A 20,779-nucleotide genomic window follows, 5' to 3' on the forward strand; every position below is an offset into this window, starting at 1 on the left:
TAAAAGAGTGAGTGTTTCAGAGGAAAGAAGAGTTGTGTAAGTGCAGCAGCTGGTGTTGTGGCTCTAATGTTTTGGGGAAGGAGGTCTCAAGTGCATTTGTGTGGCACACATGACAGAATAATTGATGTCTGCTCCACTGTCACGGATGAGCCAGGCAGGGCTGGGTCCCTCAGAGAAACGGCCCTGTCCTGTGAGAAACGCCACTGCAGTCACGATTTTCCCACAGCCTTAGCTCTGAGAATGCCCTGGCTCATGCTGGCTTAGAATGTGGTCTTGAAGAGCTTGAAGATGGTGCTGTCTTCTGTGTCCAGGGCAGCCTTGTGCAACAGAAAGCTCTGTGCCCGTCGTCACAAGGCTTGCTTCCTCACTGGGATGTGAGTCCACTGGGCAACACTCTTCATTCCATTGAACTTGAGTGTGGTCTTCTGGGAAACTGTTACTGGTTGCCAGTCATGTGACATTGTGAGAGTTAATTCATCATGGGTGTGAGAGGTCTCTGTGAGAGATGCAAGGTCTGATTGGCTCAAGGGCAAATAGCTTGTCCATCTGACATTCACTTTTATTTTAAACTAAAGAGGAGAGAATATGACTATATTCTCATTTATAAGAAACATTCTCAAGTCATTAAAAACAATGATTTTCATGCTCATATAAAATGAGTTTTATTTAACTTATTGATGAGGCAAATTGAGTGAACAGCTGTCTCAAAAAGGATTTACATAGTGAGGAAAGGAATACTGAAAAAAGATAGTTATGCTAGGTATAAAACTGAGTATTGTTCTACAGGGCAATAAACTGATGTTTGAGGATTATCCTCTCTGTTAGAAAGTAATAAAATCTTCAACCCTTAAGTTTTCTAGTTAGGCTCTAAGTTTAAAAGGTTTTAAATGTTAATAATTTGTTAGTCACGGTTATGTTTCCAAAGATGGCCCAGTTCCCCTCATATGGGTTCTTACATGCTGTTAGAAGTGCATATAGTCATCTTTAAAAATTTATTTCCAAGTTTTGGGCAATTATTCCTGAAGTATATCTTTTTTTTTTTTTTTCCCGAGACACTCTCACGCTGTCGTCCATGCTGGAGTGAAGTGGCACAATCTTGGCTCACTGCAACCTCCACCTCCTGGCTTCAATCGATTCTCGTGCCTCAGCCTCCAGAGTAGCTGGGATTACAGGCAGGCACCACCACGCCAGCTGTTTGTATTTTTAGTAGAGACGGAGTTTCACCACATTGGCCAGGGTGGTCTTGAACTCCTCCTGACCACAGGCAATCCGTCTGCCTTGGCCTCCCAAAGTGCTGGGATTACAAGCATGGGCCACCACTCCCGGCCCTGAATTGTATCTTCTGTGATCGTAAATCTCCCTAATGATTATTCTTTATCATAAAAGGCTACTCTCACTTGTGTTCATACAAAGACCGTTAATTGAATTTGTTGTTTAGTCAGCTGGTATTTACTTATCTGATAGATACTGGAAATTGGACATACATTTAATTTACAGATGCTCCTCGACTTATGATGGAGTTATAGCCCGATAAACCTATTGTAAGTTGAAAGTATTGTAAGTTGAAATGCATTTAATACTCTGATAAGCCCATGGTAAAGTTGAAACATCATAAGTTGAACCATTATAAGTCCAAATGCTTCTTGACTTACGATGGGGTTATGTCCCAATAAACTGATTGTAAACTCAAAAATTGTAAGTTGAACCATCATAAGTCTGGAACTGTCTGTATGCCATTTATACAGTTATGATTCCAAAAAGTAATTGTGCTGCCATTGATATTCTTTTTCATCAATTTTCTAATTTGGAGAAGGGATTCTGCACAGACCCCCATGTTGACACCAATTCAGTGGTGGCTCTCTCATGTTGCCTGTGAACGATACTTAGACGTTGTACATATTCCATTAGGCTTGCCTGATCTGTGCACATAGATGCATTAAAAGGTCTTGGTTAGTGTACATACTTCTTCATATGTGGTCTGCGAAAGCTGGGGCCATACAATATCAAGGCCACTGACTTCTATCATGTGGCTTTGTAAAGTTCCTGATGTCTTATTTTGACCCCTTCAGTCATTCCAGAACTGTGTGCTCAGGAAAATGAGTTCCATCATCAGCTCATTTATTTTCAGGCTTGGATCCAAGAACCGTCCAGTTTGACTCCACACAATTTTGCATATTTCACCTGTAACAGAGGGTGTATGCTTCTTTCTAGAAGTCCCTGTTTGCCGAGGTTCTGGCTTGCAGAAGTGACATTCTTTTCTTTCTTTAAGGTGTGTACTTAAGCCAAAATGTAGACACCAGTTCTGTTTCTAAGGAGGGCTTTCTGAATATCATTTCTATATAGGGGGAGCTGTCCTGGCTGTGCAACAGTGGGACCTGTCATTTCATTGAATGATATTTTCCTTAAATTTATACACAAGTATTTCTGATTATTAAGAAATTAGAATTAATACATTTTCAAAGTAACATACTAGTATTTTTATTTTCTTTTAATTAAAACATAACTATGTGAAAATTATGGGAGATATGAAAGAAATTTATCCCGACATTCTGACATTGTTAAAGTTATACGTTTGTGTAAATTTTTTGTTTTCTTCTCTGGTAGAAATAAGGGCAGGTTCTTATTGAAACTGTAAAAGTAACTAAACTGTCATGATGAGTACTGGACTCGGGAAGTCTTCATAGACCTTTTGATCACCATGTGGAGTGGCTTTGCTGGCAAGGCCGATCAATATGTGGATTATTTTCTCCAGCGTCATCATGGACGCCACCAGTGTGGCCATCCACACAGAGATTTGATTGGTTTCAGGCTATAGTAGTTAGAATGAATATAATTTAAGTGTAATCATTAATGAGATTTCTAAGCTTAGCATTTGTAAAAGCATTTCTCTGAATTGTAATTATCATAGTCGTCATCATACTTGTGTTTGGATGGCTCATTTTCTTATAATTTGCATTATATTTTCCATAGCACATTTTTACCAAATTCTGAGGAATTAGTTGGAACAAGATACCAGTGAAAGGGTCTCCCATCTCAAGTAGTAAAATTACAGCTAAAAACAGATGGCGAAGTAAGGAGAGGGGCTTCTTCCCCTGGCCCTAGAAAGCAGAACACTGAATACAATTAAATTACCCTCATCAGTGCCATCCGGTCTCCATAATTAACTTTTGTTCTGCCTGATCTTGGGTCAGCAGCTGCCAGTGCAAGTCGCTTGCCTTTGGAGTCAGTGTCCAGGAGTTGCTGACCCGTCCTTGCACTGTGGCCGTGGGGCGCTGCTGGGAGTCCATGCTGGGGTGGGCGCCTTGAGGGAGCCTCCTGGGGCTGCTCACATGGGCCCTGGCCTGACCTGTGCTCCCAGAGACTCCTTTTGAGGTCACCTGCTCCAGCAGAGGCCCCCGCCCTCCGAGAGGGGAGTGGGAAACCAACCCTGTGACAAAATGGAGAGGCTCCGCTTGGTATTCCCGGCAACAACGACATCAGATGGAGCAGAGTGGAACCCTCCCTGGAGACATGATGTGCTATGACTCCACAGGGGTGGCCGTAGCGGCAGGGGTGGTCACGGCAGGGAGCATGGCCCTCAGCACCCAGGCGCAGGACACTTTGCTGTGGCCCTCAGGTGACAAGAGCCTTGGAAACCCTGATGGCCTTCGTAGGATCCATCTGTGGGTGGCTTTCATGCCAGGCTTTGTGACCGTGCCTCCCTCCATGCTGAGGTACCGACTGCAGCAGCCCATTCCCATGGTCAGGAGGCAGGTCTTAGGTTCGGGGTCCTCTGATGGGAAAAGTGTGGGAATGGGCAGCCCTCGCACAGCCATGCTGGCTGCTGTGCCCCTCTCATCCGGGACTGTGTGGGCTTCGGTGCGGGCGCCATCCAGGAAAGCACCAGTGACATCAGCATGAAAAGCAGCAACAGCGGTCACCCCTCGGAGCTTCTTGTGTCGAAGGAGAGTCCACACCCAGGAAGGAGATGGCCACTGGTCTCATAGGACCTTGCCTGCAGGGAGCAGAGGTGGATGTAGCTTCGCCACCCCACGACCCCATTTGGAAACAGTGTTTGAAAATGAGTATTTCAGAAGGCACCCTACGTAAGGCAAGTCAGCTCTCAGATGTGAGGGAGAAACAAAAGTTAGCAGCTTTGGAGTGGACGTATTTTGGAATGTGAGCTCCCTGGGCAGATTACACAAAAGATAAAGAATAACCTTTTACTGCCTTTTCTTATTTAATTACCAGTCTTCTCTATGTATATGGTACATATATGCATTTTTGCTTATTAATTTTAATATAACTTTTATGTATGTAAAATATTCATATGGATGACTATTAAAGTAAGCGTTAAATGTAATTCCTCTCAACACAACGTAAGCAAGGAATAATCACATTAATTTTATCATCTTAATTGGAACTTTACAAAAAGGAAATTGAGACAGTAAAAACTGTGGTTGGTGACCCCCAGGACCTACTCTTGCTCTGCCTCGGTGAATTTTAATTAATTTAATATTGTCTGGGTAACCAAAGATTTCTCATTTATTAACTCAATATTATTTCAAGATCCTAATGTCATTTATGAACAGTAGGAATTCCATTAAACATTACATAAAAGACCCAGCACCATCACAGTTAACATGAAAAATTTGACAGCGGGATGACATTTAAAATTTTTGTGCAATTAATACAAGTGTAAAGCCAAGTCCAGGTGGCTTGCAGCATTGCCTGAAGTTCGAAAGAACTGACTCTTTTTTTATCCTCTAGAGATCACTTATTAAAATTCAACTTAGTCGACCCAAATGTGTATATTTTTATAATCTCAAACATTATTTGGAAACGATAACTGATAAAACTATATGGAAAACTTTAGGAAGTTTATGCTTCCCACGAGAAAACAAATTCAAGTCTTATGTAAAATAAAATGCATGCTTCCCTTGTATTCTATGTCGTGATACATTCAGGGAGACATAAAGCTGTTTTTAAACCCCAAATTTTTGAACCTATCTGACGTCTTCAGGGATTCACCTTAATTTGAAGCATGATAGTCCTGTGTCTAGGTGGACTCTCTGTTTATAAACCAGTAATGAAAAAGTGCTTCACAGAGGGCTATTCCCGCATGTTTTTATGCACGCAGCCCTGGTGGCGCTGTACTGTCGTGGACTCTGCTGCGACGCAGTTGTCACTTGCTGTCCTGCGTTGAAGACCTTTCTGTGTAGACACACAATTCTCCCACAGAGCAGAGTCGCAGAGGACCCAGCCTTTTATTCAAAGCCTATCGTAAGTCAAGAACAATTATTTCTAACATGCTGTGCCTATCTCCAGGTTCAGCTGTTTATTTGAAACGTAAACAGAGTCCTTGGGAAATGTTGCTGGTATCTGCCGTGTTCCCCACGCGGGAAGCCAGAGAGCGTGGCAAGTGTCTGTCCCATCCTGGGGCCTCGGCCTCCTAATGTTCCTCACCAAGGCCTGGTCCTTCTTCAGGGGTCCCAGTGTGGCTTCTGCCCACACCCAAGGGGCCCAGGCCTTTGGACATTTGCTCTCAAGGGTGGGCACCGCCTCCACCTACCCTCCCCCGAGGGCCACACTTCTTGCTGCTCTGTGCAGATTCTACTGGAAGCCCTTCCAGCGCTGCCAGGCTCGGATCCTGGTGGCCTTGCGATGGCCTTTGGCTCCGCCTGTGGCCATGCTCCGGGGGGTACTGCCTTCCCGCTCGCTGAGCCCGACTTCCACGTTCACACGGCACTGTCGCCACCGCACACACGGCTCCTGAGCCCAACCCCCGCGTGCACACGGCACTGTTCACCTCACATGGCTCCTGAGTCTGACCCCTGCGCTGCACATGGCACTGTTCACCACACAGAGCTCCTGAGTCTGACCCCGCACTGCACACGGCAGTGTTCATCACACACGCGGCTCCAGAGCCCGACCCCCGCATGCACACGGCGCTGTTCACCTCACAGGGCTCCTGAGTCTGACCCCTGCGCTGCACACGGCACTGTTCACCACACAGGGCTCCTGAGTCTGACCCCGCACTGCACACGGCACTGTTCACCTCACACGGCTCCTGAGCCCAACCCCCGCGTGCACACGGCACTGTTCACCACACAGGGCTCCTGAGTCTGACCCCTGCGCTGCACACGGCACTGTTCACCACACAGGGCTCCTGAGTCTGACCCCTGCGCTGTACACGGCACTGTTCATCACACACGCGGCTCCAGAGCCCGACCCCCGCATGCACACAGCGCTGTTCACCACACAGGGCTCCTGAGTCTGACCCCGCACTGCACACGGCACTGTTCACCACACAGGGCTCCTGAGTCTGACCCCTGCGCTGCACACGGCACTGTTCACCACACAGGGCTCCTGAGCCCAACCCCCGCGTGCACACGGCACTGTTCACCTCACACGGCTCCTGAGTCTGGCCCCGCACTGCACACGGCACTGTTCACCACACAGGGCTCCTGAGTCTGACCCCGCACTGCACACGGCACTGTTCACCTCACACGGCTCCTGAGCCCAACCCCCGCGTGCACACGGCACTGTTCACCTCACACGGCTCCTGAGTCTGACCCCTGCGCTGCACACGGCACTGTTCACCACACAGGGCTCCTGAGTCTGACCCCTGCGCTGTACACGGCACTGTTCATCACACACGCGGCTCCAGAGCCCGACCCCCGCATGCACACAGCGCTGTTCACCACCGCATGTGGCTCCTGAGCCTGAGGAGGAGCGTGGTGGCAAGGACAGCTACCATGAGTCTGCAAGCAGCCAGGTACCCTTCTCCTGGGCTGGAGCCAGTGTAGAGGACGGGGACTCTCAGCTCTGCCGTGACCCCCGTGGTCTCCCAAGGACAAGCGCCATTCTTGAGGGACGATCACAGCTTCTCGCCAGACTCCCTGATGAGGTCAGTCACGCGCTGAGACCAGAGCAGGGGCATCATCCTCGTTTCTTGCACAGTAAACGCAGCTGTAACATCTGGACCAGTGGAGCCAGTTGTGGGAATCCATAGGAATTTGAGTTTCAGCGATTGTTCCAGGCAGCGTTTTCCCAGGAAGTGTTTACCAGTTGTCCACGTTGGGGTATGAATGAGTGAAGCTTCATGAATGTAACTTTGAACACTTGATCAGAAAGAGAAAACGGATGACATGTTTCTGATAAATCATGACTAAGATGATTTTTTAAAATATCATTTAAAAAGATAAGTATCGAGGAAGCTTCCATTTCAAACCAACTCCGCAGGAAAGTTTTAGGGTGAATCAAACATCTTTTTCTGTAGTTGAGTTAGTAACTCTAAATATATCCATTTGGTCTTTGAGAATGCTTTCATATCTTTTTTTTAAAAGTTTTTAATTTTCAAACTTTTTAAAAAATGACAATGGATGAATAAGTATTTTTGGTAATGATTAGTTTATGCTATGCACACTGCTTTGTAACCTTCTTTTTCCCTCTAACAAAATGTGATGGGTGTTATCTTTTATCCTCTTTCACGGTTTTTGCTACTGGTGGAGTCTTTTACATCTGGGTTTATTCAAACACATAGAAGCAAATGGACTGAGAGTGAGCATCTGCCTCTCCTCACATTTCCTACGCTAGAAATGACTGTTGTTAGGATGGTCAACCTTCTTCCAGCTTTATTTCCACGCCTGTAAAATAAATGTGTCTGTATGTAAAATATACTTCTTTTTCTCACAAATTGATCCTGAGCTTATTTTGTGCTTCACTGTGCCTTTTGTCACTTGACATACATCAGATAAATCTACTGGCCATTGATGTGTCTCTTGCATTTGAGTGGCTGCGTGACATTGCAAATATGGATGCTCCATCACATGTGTCATGTGGACATTTGGGTTACTTTTCTTTTAAATGAATGCTGAAATAAACTTCTTTGTGTATTTACCTTTCTTGATTATACAGATGTCTTTCCAGCACAGGCTCCTTGGAGAGGTGGCTGGGCCATCGCTGACATTCGTGCTTTCACTGCCTGTGTCATGTGCTCATACACTGTACACGTTTAAACACTTCCTTACTGATGGACAGTGAGATTCTTTCCCCATGTTAGTTTTTCCTAAAGTTTGTTCTAGTTTGAAGAAAATGGGAATGAGCCCAGCTTAAGCGCATATCCCTTTCGAACATGAAGGTTCAGATAAGGCATGAACTTGAGAATTCTGTGCCGCTTAGGCTTTGGGTGCCTGTGGTTTTGAGAGTGAGTAGATTATTCTTACTCATTTGATTCTAAGAAAAAGTAGCTGTTGCTGAGGCTTAAGATGCCCTTAATTGTTTGGATGCCTTCATGAATTTCAGATTTATTCGTGTTCAATAGTTGTATGGAAAGATAAGGATGTGAAACCTAGAATTCAATTCAGAGCAAGAGGAAAAGTTCAAAATTTTGACATGCATGGCTATTTCAACATTTCAATGCACAATTTGACTTAAATTGTGGATTTTTTTCTTGGATGGGTTGTGGATTTCTGAGAAATGTACAAATACCTATGTACATTTATTGCTGAAAGAGGTTTGTTTTACTACTGTATAAAATCTTAAAGGATCCCAAAAGTGGTGTTCAACAAAGAGGTGTATATATATATATGTATATATATATATATACACCTCTTTGTTGAACACCACTATATATATATATATATATATATATATATATATATATATATATATATATATATATATAAATACTTTAAACTCCCTAGAACTGAAAGTATAACAAACAGGTGTTTTCTTCATGATGACTATGATGTTGTTTTTCTTTACGTCAGTATCTTCACTGTATTTAGTCTGTAGCTTCTCTCCTGATACACAAATGCACTCACACACGTGCTCATTTGCCCTCATGCTGACACAGATGCACACACATTGTTATTCACCTGTCTTCCCAATTTTTCTTTCCTTTTGTGTTCCCTCAGTTTTGAATTTTAATTTGGTGACTTCAGGCAGAGTCTGATTTGTGACTTCTGTTTATGTTGTAACTTGGGAATATCTGACTTTTACTGAATACAAGCCACATGTGGGCAGTAAAAGGAAGATGATTATGACAGCTATGCCCGTGGGGCCCCTGCCCCCAACCCCCCAGCTGGTGCTTTGCTGATTCCTTTCAGCTACCGACCCACCTAATTCTCTGAGAACCTTTCATGGTCAGATGGTCAGTAGGAATGGGAAGCATGGCCCCTGTGAGCTGAAGTGACTTATGGGGGCTCCATCAGTGTGGAGGTGTTCACAGGAAGTCCACAGGGAGGAACTCCAGAGCCTGTGCCTCCTGCTCCCTGCCCACATTCCTCCAGGTCCTTGCATTCACTCGTGCACTTCTACTAGAAGACGGGGCTCCCTGGGATCCCTGTGGGGCTCCTGTTCCATACTAGCCTCCCCTGGTGGCGGCCAAGCCCCAAGCCAGCGCCATGAGTGCATCCTCAGTTGGGAGGGCTGGGCAGACTTGACCACCTTTATTTCCACTCTGTTTAAGTTTTTGTAACATACAGGGACGAAAGAAAGAAAGCCCTTATACATGCACTGGGCAGCACCTGTGTCAGCGAGTGACAGGCTTTCAGCAGCATGGTATGTCCTCACCTCACGTCTTCAGTAGGGTTCCTGGAAGCTGCGACTCCACGTATAATGAGTCGCAGTGGATCCACGTATAATGGATCCACGTATAATGAAACCGATGTTTTTTCCTCATCCACCTTGTAAGGAATCAAAGTTGAACTAAAAGACATTATGGTGGGATTTGCTGTAAGTTGTTTCACCTAAAGTCACAGTTCCCGCGAACCAATCAAGGACATTGAGGACTTGCTGCATAGTGTGTGGGTTCATCTGTGGCTCAGCTCGTGTGGGCCATGGGGTTCCCAGGCATCAGTCAGATGTTCTTCTGGGGATGCCTGGAGGCATTTCTGGATGAGAGTCTCATGATAATTTTTTGCCTCAGTGAAGCAGACCTCTCCCCAGGGGGGATGGGCTCACGCAATCCCCTCAAAGACCTGACTAGAATGAAGGACACCTTCCACCAAGTCTGAGAGAATTCCTGCTTCATGGCCTCCGATGTCAGCTCTTCCTGGGTCTCCAGCCTGCAGGCTTCAGACTGGAACTTCACAGTTGGCTCCCTGGGCCTCCCGCTGGCCGACACACTCTGCAGATCTTGGGACTCGTCACCCTCCATGCGCGAGTGAGCCAATCCCTTGAAATCTCCTTCTCTCTACACGTGCACAGCCTATTAGTTTCTCTGGAGACTCCTGACGAATACACAAACCAGTGCAGGTTTGTAGCCCAGCAAACCCAGTGTGCTGGAGCAGCTCGTACTGGCTTGCAAGAACCAACTGTTAAGTTTTTAGGAATCTTGTGTGCCAGTTAGAAAAAAAAAAAAGATATAAACTTAAATAATTATATTACCAACAAAGATAATACATATTCAAAACCTGTTGTGTCCTAGGTACTTTGTGGGTGCTCTAAAAGTTCCTTATTTCTCTCTTGTCTGCAGGGAGGTGCAGTTCATGCTATGCTGCTGCAAACCTCCCCTCAGCTCCCTGTTCAGTGATGTCATAAGGGTGGCTTGGAGGGAGCCTGGTGGGAGAATTTACACAGTGGGAATCAGCAGATATTTTGCATCAGACTCTGATTTATTGTTTTGGTGATCGTGTAGACTTAAAGTGATGGGGAATATGTTATTAGTACAGATTAAACCTAGAAGTGTATTACATCTGTGGCCATTATATTGTCAATAGCATAAACATTTGAGGTTATGTTCTTTTAATATTCAAAACTATTATCTGATTCAGCAAAAAATTGTTCACACCATTGACAAATGAGTGAAATTCTGACATGGTTCAGCAAAAAATTGTTCACACCATTGACAAATGAGTGAAATTCTGACATATATCTTCATTTTTTTCATTTTTATCCTGCTCATTAACCTAAAGAAAAATGTCCACCGGCATTCATTTTGGAGCTGCAGTCATTTGTCAATGACACCAGCAGCTTCTTTGCTGAGTCAGATAGTGATCAAGCTTTTCTTCATCATCTTATTTGGTGACAATATTGTTACTGATAGAGTTATAAAAATTGATGGTGGGTTTGCAAGAAATACCAAGTCACAAAGAAATTATAGGTGTGTTGACTTTATAGTAAGGATGTTATATATTTTATTTTTAAAAAATTGTGTGCAACTCATTTTTTACATAGCAAACCTACAAAGACACATATACACATTTTTCTCCAGAGAGGTGGCTGATCAACGTTTATCAGCCCACCAGTGCTTAAGGACAAATGGCAGAATTCTTATCATGACTTTCCCTTGCCATCTGTACTTGGATACATTTCTTCTGTAATAGGAATAGAACAGGCCTGTTTTTTGGACTAATGTAAACATGAGGGATTAGATTTTGTAAGAATACTTATTTTGAGAATAACACTATATTGTTTGTTTTTACAAACCAAGGCTTTTTTCTTCTAAACTGTCTGAGAAATGGGAACATGTGTGTTCTGTGTCCTTAGAGACATGTAATTATTTTAACAAATGGCTCTTAAAATTTAGTGTAGGAAAAAATGCCTTAATCAACTAAATGGGTGATAGAGACTTGAGCTGCACAAAGCTTCTAGTATATTCTATGACCTTGATTTTAGCCTTAATAACACACCAAAGAGATGCAATGAAATTTCCATTGTCAGACCCCAGACTATCTTAACCTTGTTAACGATTATATACTTCTAAGAAAATATAAAATTTCAATGTTTAAGTAATGTGCATTATTTTCTGCTAGAATGCAAGTGAAGAAAATAAATTTTACCTCCATGTTTAACCGTAAACCTTAGAGTCTGCCCATCAGTAGTGTGGCTCTCCTGTTCAGATCAGGATCTTAAATGGTAACTTGAAAACCTGGGAGTATGAATGAAAATTCAGGACTTATTTAGATAATTGGACTTTATCAAAATGAGTAATTTTTGTGGTTTCGAGGACACCATCCGGAAACTGAACAGCCAACGTAGAGGATGGGAGAAAGTATTTTCATATCAAATACCTGTATGTATCCAGAATTCATAAAGAACTCTTGTAACTTAACAATAAAATGACTAATAACCCAACTGAAAAGTGGACAGAGGGTTTCTGCTCTGACACATAAGGGCATTGGAAGTCACCACTGTTATCCTCCTCACAAGAGAAGTGCTGAACTCGCTGAAAATTGACAACTTTTCTTAGATCCCTGGGTAAATTGAGGTCACAGGGCACGTGTTCCTCCCCAAAATTGGAGCAACCAGCAGATGGATGCAGGAATCACAGCTTGTTACCACCACTGGGAGAAGCAGCCCCAGCTGGAGTCAGCACCCACTGGGAGCACTGAAACCACATTGTCAAAGTGCTGGATTCTAAGCATGGACTTGCTTGAGAGAGAAGACTCTGGAGAGCCCATTCTACTTGTGTGAGTTTTATTTCTAGGAGCCACACCAGGTTGCTCAGGTGAAGATCATAGAAAAATACCCGCATACTTCTGCCAGGAATAGGGAAAAGTCATCATCATGGAGTACTCTCAGAGGATTGTATTCTGAGCAAGGCCTGCCCTCAATAGAAATCTGTTTTTCAAGCCTCACAGACTTGGGTTTTATGGGATCCTAAGCAATGAGAGTGAAGGGGAATTCTCAATTCCAGCCCCATTGTCTTCCTTCCTTACACAGGGGGAAGAAAGCTAAGAAGCACTTGTGATGGTTGCAGCCCAGGGGTACAGGCTTATTATAGAACTGAGACCCAATCATAGCATTGTTCGGTGGCTCTTTTCCTTCAACACCTTTCCACCACATCAGTAGGGCTCCTGTATAATAACATGGAACTAGAGCTGAAAGGGGTCATTGCTAGATTCAGGTCCTATTTAAGAAGTCATCTTGGGGAAACCAAAAGTTGTAACAGGAGAGACAAAAACAAGGACAACACAGGACATTTTAACCTCTTAAACCTACATCTATAGCAGACATAAACACAGCCTGACTCCTAGATGGACAGACATAAATCTCACCCTAAAGTTTCATTTATCTTAGTGCACTTTTACCTGCTTCACTATATCCATCATGCAACGAAAAACCTACAAGGCATGCGGAAAGGAAGAAATGAAAGATAATCTGAAGACACAAAGCAAGCACCAAAATAAGACCTAGATATAGCAGAGACTGAAATTATCAACAGATAGTGCTAAGGGTTCTAATGGAAAAAAAGTGGACACTGACAAGAACAGATGAGTGATATAAGCAAAGAGATGGAAACTCTAAGAAAATCAAAGATAAAAAACATAGCTGGGCATAAAAAACACTGTGACAGAAATGACAAATGCTTTTGATGGTCTAATCATTAGACTGGGCATAGGCCAGGTAAAAATCAGTGAGCTTAAGGAACTTCCAAACTGAAAAGCAAAGGTAGAAAATATTTTTTTTTGTATTTTTTTCTTATTTATTTATTTATTTATTTATTTATCATTCTTGTGTGTTTCTCGCAGAGGGGGATTTGGCAGGGTCATAGGACAATAGTGGAGGAAAGATCAGCAGATAAACAAGTGAACAAAGATCTCTGGTTTTCCTAGGCAGAGGACCCTGCGGCCTTCCGCGGTGTTTGTGTCCCTGGGTACTTGAGATTAGGGAGTGGTGATGACTCTTAACGAGCATGCTGCCTTCAAGCATCTGTTTAACAAAGCACATCTTGCACCGCCCTTAATCCATTTAACCCTGAGTGGACACAGCAGATGTTTCAGAGACCACCGTGTTGGGGGTAAGGTCATAGATAACAGCATTCCAAGGCAGAAGAATTTTTCTTAGTACAGAACAAAATGGAGTCCCCTATGTCTACTTCTTTCTACACAGACACAGCATCAATCTGATTTCTCTATCTTTTCACCACATTTCCCCCTTTTCTATTCGACAAAACCGCCATCGTCATCATGGCCCGTTCTCAATGAGCTGTTGGGTACACCTCCCAGATGGGGTGGCGGCAGGGCAGAGGGGCTCCTCACTTCCCAGAAGGGGCGGCCGGGCAGAGGCGACCCCCACCTCCCTCCCAGACGGGGCGGCTGGCCGGGCGGAGGCTGTCCCCCCACCTCCCTCCCGGACGGGGCAGCTGGCCGGGCGGGGGCTGTCCCCCCACCTCCCAGACAGGGCGGCTGCCGGGCGGAGACGCTCCTCACTTCCCAGACGGGGTGGCTGCCGGGCGGAGGGGCTCCTCACTTCTCAGACGGGGCGGCCGGGCAGAGACGCTCCTCACCTCCCAGACGGGGTCACGGCCGGGCAGAGGCGCTCCTCACATCCCAGACGGGGTGGTGGGGCAGGAGGCGCACCCCACATCTCAGACGATGGGCGGCCGGGCAGAGATGCTCCTCACTTCTTTCCAGATGGGGTGGCAGCTGGGCAGAGGCTGCAATCTCGGCACTTTGGGAGGCCAAGGCAGGCGGCTGGGAGGTGGAGGTTGTAGTGAGCCGAGATCACGCCACTGCACTCCAGCCTCTGCTTTTTCTCAGTTCCAGCTCCTTTCTCTTTCACGGTACCTCAGTTGCTTCTACTTTATCGGATAGTGTTGGAGATCATGGAGGGAAGGCAAATATACGCGCGGCTGAGCGGAGGCGAATCCGGAGCGCGAATCCGGGGCTCGGGCCCGTGGCCCCGCGGCGGTCCGGGAGGTCGGGGCGGGCGGTGGCGGCTGCGACCACGGGCCAGGCCTCTTCCCCTCCTCCGCCACCGCCGCCACCGCCACCGCCGCCACCCCGGCTGGAGAGCGCTGGGCGCAAGCTGCGCGCGCAGACCGGGCCACTCGGTCGCCAGAAAAGATTTTTTTAAAAATGGAACAGAATATTGAAGAACTGTAGGAGAAATACAAAAGAAGTAACATATGTGGAATGGTAATACCAGAAAGAGAAGAAAGAAAGAAAAGAAAAGAAGAAATATTTGTAGTAAAAGTTGATGAGAATTTTTCGGAACTAATGGTAAGACACCAAACCATATCCAGGAAGCTAAAAGAACCAGCAAGATATATATTAAAAATCCACAACTAAGCATTTCATATTCAAACTATAGAAAATCAAAGATGAAAATGAAATCTTGAAAGAAGCTACAGAAATAAAATGGCTCACGTACAGAGGGGTAAGGATAAGAATTACTTAAGTCTACTCTTTGTAAACCATGCAAGCAGGAAAAAAGTTGATTCAAATATTTAAAGTGTTGAAAGAAATAAGTAAAACACCAACCCAGAATTCTGTCTATAGATGACTTCATCCAAAACAGCAGAAACACATTCCTCTCAAGCTTATATGGAATATTCATCAAGATAGAATATATTCTGGGCTATAAAACACACCTTAAAAATTTAAAAGACTAGAAGTAACACAAAGTCTGCTCTTAGACCATAGTGGAATTAAACTAGAAATTAGTAACAGAAAGATAGCCAGAAGTTTCCAAAATATATAGATACTAAACAACATACTTCTAAATAACACATTCGTCAAAGAAGAAGTCTCAAGATAAATTTTAAAATATTTCAAACTAAGTAAAAATGAAAATTCAACTTATCAAAATTTTTGAGATACCAAAAAGGCCAGATTAAAAGGAAATGTATTTACCATTGAATACATATTTAGAAATGGAGTAAGATCCAAAATCAATCATCTAAACTTCTTCTTTAAAAAACTAGAGAAGAGCAAATTAAATCCAAAATAAGCAGAAGAAAAGAAATACTATGAATGAGAAAAGAAATCAATGAAACTGAAAATAAGATATTGGTATAGAAACTTAAGCCAAGAGCTTGTTCTTTGAAAAGATCAAAACACTTGACGAACCTCTGACCAGGCTAATGAAGAAAAAAGGGAGAGAAGATCCAAATTACCGAAATCAGAAATGAAAGAAGGGCCATCAGTCCTGATTCCAGGAACATTAAAAAGATAATAAAAGAATACTATGAATAACTCTGTGTCCAAGAATTTGATAACCTGCATGAAATGGACAAGTTGTTTGAAAAACAAACCTGTCAAAACTCACACAAGAAGGAATAGACAATCTGAACAGGCCTATATCTATTAAAGAAATTTAACAAATAACTAATAACTTTCCAAAACAGTAAGCACCAAGCCCGCATGGGTTCATTGGTGAATTCTATCAAATATTTAAGGAAGATAATTATTTCAGTACTCCACAACCTATTCCAGAAGACAGAAATAGAGGGAATAAATGCTAAATAATTCTATAAAATTATTTAGCATTCCCCTCAAATCAAAACCAGAAAAAGACATTTAAAGAAAGGATCACTGCAGACCAGTATTTCTCATAAACATAGATGTGGAGATCCTCAGCAAAGTATGAGGGAATCAAATCTAACAACGTATAAAAATAATTTTACACCATGACCAAGCTGGATTTATCCAGGTATGCAAGGCTGGCTCAACATCTGAAAATTGTAATCATTCACAGGCTAAGGAAGAAAAAATTACATCATGTCTATAGTACAGCAAAAGCATTTGCCAAAACCCAGCACCCATTCATAATAAAACTCTCTACAAAATAAGAATACAGGGGGAACTTCCTCAACTTGATAAGGAATATTTACAAAAAACCCTGTAGCTAAACTCATACTTCATGGTGAGAAACTGGACAATTTCCCCTCATATCAGAAGCAAAACACTCTTACCATGTTGGAAGTTTGAGCAAATGCAATGAGACAGGAAAAGGAAATAAAAGCTGTACAGACCAAGACGGGAGAAATAAACCTATTTCACAGATGACGTTGTCTGTGGAAAAAATCCAAAGAATCAACAAAAATTACCCTGAAACCAATAAACAATTATAGCAAGGTTGCAAGATACAAGGTTATTATACAGAAGTCAGTTATTTTCCTATACACCAGCAATAAAAAATTGGAATTCGAAATGGAAGACACAAGATAAAATTAACACCAAAAATAAAGAAATACTTAGGTATAAATCCAAGAAAGCATGCATAAGATCTGTATGAAGAAAGCTACAAAACTCTTATAAAAGACATAACATTTTCACGATAATAAGTACAAAGTTGGAGGGATGACTTCGAGACTTATTAGAAAGGTACTGTAATGAAGACAGTGTTGTATTGGTCAAAAAATCGGCCAATAGAACACAATGGAAAGCCCAGAAAATAGACTCAGTGCAGGCCGGGCGTGATGGTTCAAGCGTGTAATCCTAGCACTTTGGGAGATCGAGGCGGGCGGATCACAAGGTCAGGAGATCGAGACCATCCTGGCCAACATGGTAAAACCCCATGTCTACTAAAAATACAAAAAAATTAGCTGGGCGTGGTGGCAGGTGCCTGTAGTCCCAGCTACTTGGGAGGCTGAGGCAGGCGAATGGCGTGAACCCGGGAGGTGGAGCTTGCAGTGAGGCGAGATTGCGCCACTGCTCTCCAGCCTGGGCGACAGAGCAAGACTCTGTCTCAAAAAAACAAAAAACAGAAAATAGACTCAGTGCAAATAGGGCCAACCAATCTTTGACAAAGGAGCAATTCAGTGTAGAAAAGATGGCTTTTTCAAAAACGGTGCTGGAACAACTGGACATCTACATGCAAGAAAAAATGGATGTAGACGTAAACCTTTGACTTATAAAAAACATAACTGAAAATAGATTTTAGACCTATATATAAAATGCAAAACTGTAAAACTTATAGAAGATAGCATAAAATACCTAGGTAACTGTAGATTTAGTGATGACATTTTAGATATAGTACCAAAAGCACTGTTCATGAAAGAAATAATTGATAAGTTGAACTTGCATTAAAGTTAAAAACTTCTTTGTGAAGACCATGTTCAGAGAATGAAATGACAAGCTACAGACTGGGAGAAAATATTTACAAAACACTTACCTAATAAAATACATGGATTGGTAGCCAGGATTTATGACTTGTCTGCTTATCCAAAAATGGTACTCAGCCAAGATAAGAGGTCAGCTTCTTGCATTTCTTCACCTCTCTCACTTTCCTCCTCTTGCCTCCCCTCCTGAAATGTTGCAAATGTTTCTGTAGACCAGCCCTACAGTGGGCAGAGACCCACTCCTTGCCTCTGTCTGTACCTGGTTGGTCTAAAGGCAATGAGAAAATGAAATCATTCCTTCTCTTGAAGTCTGTCTCCCTGAAGAGCACCTCCCATGTTCTTCTGACAGCTGAGGTGGACACATGCCTTTGGTCAGGCAGGTAAACAATTTTATGTGCAAATGAGTGGATTAGTTTCCATGGAGGGCACATGGCAATGTGAGGTCAAAACTAGGTTTCTGACCCCTGTGATGTGTGACACTTTCTGATATAGCAAAATATCTTTCTCCAGTAAGGTATATTCAAAGCTGCTGCTTCAAATTATTGCCAGTTAGTTTTGGGTACTTATTTTTGAACTCATGCCTCCTTGCGAACTTTTTCAATGAGTTTTAACAGGATCCATATTTTAATTTATACTTAGTAAACTCTATAAAACTGTCCTTCTTTGTGAAATATAATTAGAACATTTTCCCTGTTATAGACTGTTTTTTAAGAGAGTTCATAGAATTTTAGTAATGTGGGGAGGGCGTCGGGGATGCAGTGAGGGGCTGGGTTCTGGTCTTTGGTGTTGTGGGGAGGGCGTCGGGGATGCAGTGAGGTGCTGGGTTCTGGTCTTTGGTGTTGTGGGGAGGGCGTCGGGGATGCAGTGAGGGGCTGCGTTCTGGTCTTTGGTGTTGTGGGGAGGGCGTCGGGGATGCAGTGAGGGGCTGCGTTCTGGTCTTTGGTGACGTGGGGAGGGCGTCGGGGATGCAGTGAGGAGCTGGGTTCTGGTCTTTGGTGTTGTGGGGAGGGCGTCGGGGATGCAGTGAGGGGCTGGGTTCTGGTCTTTGGTGTTGTGGGGAGGGCGTCGGGGATGCAGTGAGGGGCTGGGTTCTGGTCTTTGGTGTTGTGGGGAGGGCGTCGGGGATGCAGTGAGGTGCTGGGTTCTGGTCTTTGGTGTTGTGGGGAGGGCGTCGGGGATGCAGTGAGAGGGTGGGTTCTGGTCTTTGGTGTTGTGGGGAGGGCGTCGGGGATGCAGTGAGGGGCTGGGTTCTGGTCTTTGGTGTTGTGGGGAGGGCGTCGGGGATGCAGTGAGGGGCTGGGTTCTGGTCTTTGGTGTTGTGGGGAGGGCGTCGGGGATGCAGTGAGGTGCTGGGTTCCGGTCTTTGGTGTTGTGGGGAGGGCGTCGGGGATGCAGTGAGGTGCTGCGTTCCGGTCTTTGGTGACGTGGGGAGGGCGTCGGGGATGCAGTGAGGTGCTGCGTTCTGGTCTTTGGTGACGTGGGGAGGGCGTCGGGGATGCAGTGAGGTGCTGGGTTCTGGTCTTTGGTGACGTGGGGAGGGCGTCGGGGATGCAGTGAGAGGGTGGGTTCTGGTCTTTGGTGTTGTGGGGAGGGCGTCGGGGATGCAGTGAGGGGCTGGGTTCTGGTCTTTGGTGACGTGGGGAGGGCGTCGGGGATGCAGTGAGAGGGTGGGTTCTGGTCTTTGGTGTTGTGGGGAGGGCGTCGGGGATTCACTGAGGGGCTGAGTTCTGGTCTTTGCCACGCGGGCATGTGTATATCATCTGGTAAGGCATTTCAATGGTGGGATTTTCCCCAGAAGTGAATGAAGACTTTTCAAACAGCTTACCTTTTGATAAGCTTGACAAAACCAGGTTTCTTTACACATTCCCAGTTAAAAATAATGCTGATCCCAAATACTCATAGCCAAAAATGTATGACATATTATTGCAAAAATAACTCCGTAATCTTTCTCTGCTGGCAACGAGTTTAGGGTTTGCTGGTAGATCAGCAAGATTGGTGAGAGACCCTGTTAGGAAGCTTGGGTCACTCCCCAGCTTGTTCCCACACTTCATTCTCCGCAGGAGTGTTCAGGAGCATGCAGTCCGAATGCTAGCCCTTGTCATTAAGAATTCTAAATTGGGGGTGGGGGATGGCGAGTGCAGTTCTTGAATCCAGGTGAGCTCAACATTGTTAAGATTCTTCAAAAGCAATCACACTGACTTCACAAAGGAACATAATGGCACCTAACATCTCTTCTGATGGGATTATAATGACAAACTAATAAAAACAGTAAGCAAATGGAGATTACAGCTTTAAATATACTGACATCCGAAGGAGTGGGAAAATAGATGCTAAGACTGATGGGAATCTCAGTGGATATCCACCCCACAAGGGAGAAATTGAGTAGTTGAACCTAACAGCAGACATAATAGTCTGTGATTTTATCCTTTTTCTAAAAATGTGCTGCCACCAAAGTGACACAGTGATCTTGTTCCCAGCCTCACATCCCTGACCTGTAACTGGAGAGACAGGAGACATGGTATTGTAATCAACTTGTGAAATTTGAGAAAAAAGTGCTTGCTGATTATCACTGTGTGGGCAGGTTTTGCACCTGCCTGTAATGATGGAGTAATTTCTCATTATCAGGTAAAGGGTGATCCTACTTTGAAATGAGAACTGCCCTCTGAGCGTCAGGAAGGGGTTGGATTGGTGGAAACTAGGTGTGAAGCATGGCTATCCACCCAAAATGACCCATTGTTTTCAGGCACATGTGCCAGTCCTTTCTCTTGCATGCAGTTTTAAGGAAGGATTAGGATATTTTGAGATGTAACAGTTTTGTCACATGGCCTGCCTAAGTGAAAGAAGGGAAACATTTGCAGTCTTGGACACTCAGTCCTTTGGGAGGAAGTTTGCGGTTTCCTTGGGTTTGCCATTCTGTGTTCCACATCACAGCTGTGGTAAGAAAGAGGAGTGAGAGAGGGGCTGGGAGTGAGGCACGCAGAACCATGGAGCTGCTAAGGGGAG

General features: G+C 44.3%; 1 protein-coding gene across 2 annotated transcripts in view, besides 3 other annotated features; it reads left to right on the forward strand.

Annotated features, from left to right (window-relative positions):
- The window catches only part of DLGAP2 (DLG associated protein 2), a 970,849-nt gene that overhangs the window by 221,579 nt on the left and 728,491 nt on the right, over positions 1-20,779 (forward strand). The gene's annotated exons all lie outside the window — the stretch shown is intronic.
- Positions 3,216-3,716: an enhancer, noted in NCBI's record as "H3K4me1 hESC enhancer chr8:912422-912922 (GRCh37/hg19 assembly coordinates)". NCBI's record gives its function as "activates a minimal SCP1, AML or CMV promoter by ChIP-STARR-seq in primed H9 embryonic stem cells {active_cell/tissue: H9 hESC(primed)}" and the evidence as "EXISTENCE:reporter gene assay evidence [ECO:0000049][PMID:30033119]".
- Positions 5,746-6,945: an enhancer, noted in NCBI's record as "BRD4-independent group 4 enhancer chr8:914952-916151 (GRCh37/hg19 assembly coordinates)". NCBI's record gives its function as "activates an origin of replication core promoter dependent on BRD2, P300/CBP, MED14 and CDK7 cofactors, and independent of BRD4, by STARR-seq in HCT116 cells {active_cell/tissue: HCT116}" and the evidence as "EXISTENCE:reporter gene assay evidence [ECO:0000049][PMID:35650434]".
- Positions 5,899-6,732: an enhancer, noted in NCBI's record as "H3K27ac-H3K4me1 hESC enhancer chr8:915105-915938 (GRCh37/hg19 assembly coordinates)". NCBI's record gives its function as "activates a minimal SCP1, AML or CMV promoter by ChIP-STARR-seq in naive and primed H9 embryonic stem cells {active_cell/tissue: H9 hESC(naive and primed)}" and the evidence as "EXISTENCE:reporter gene assay evidence [ECO:0000049][PMID:30033119]".

The sequence above is a fragment of the Homo sapiens genome, chromosome 8 (assembly GCF_000001405.40).
Source record: "Homo sapiens chromosome 8, GRCh38.p14 Primary Assembly".
Taxonomy (NCBI): Eukaryota; Metazoa; Chordata; class Mammalia; order Primates; family Hominidae; genus Homo; species Homo sapiens.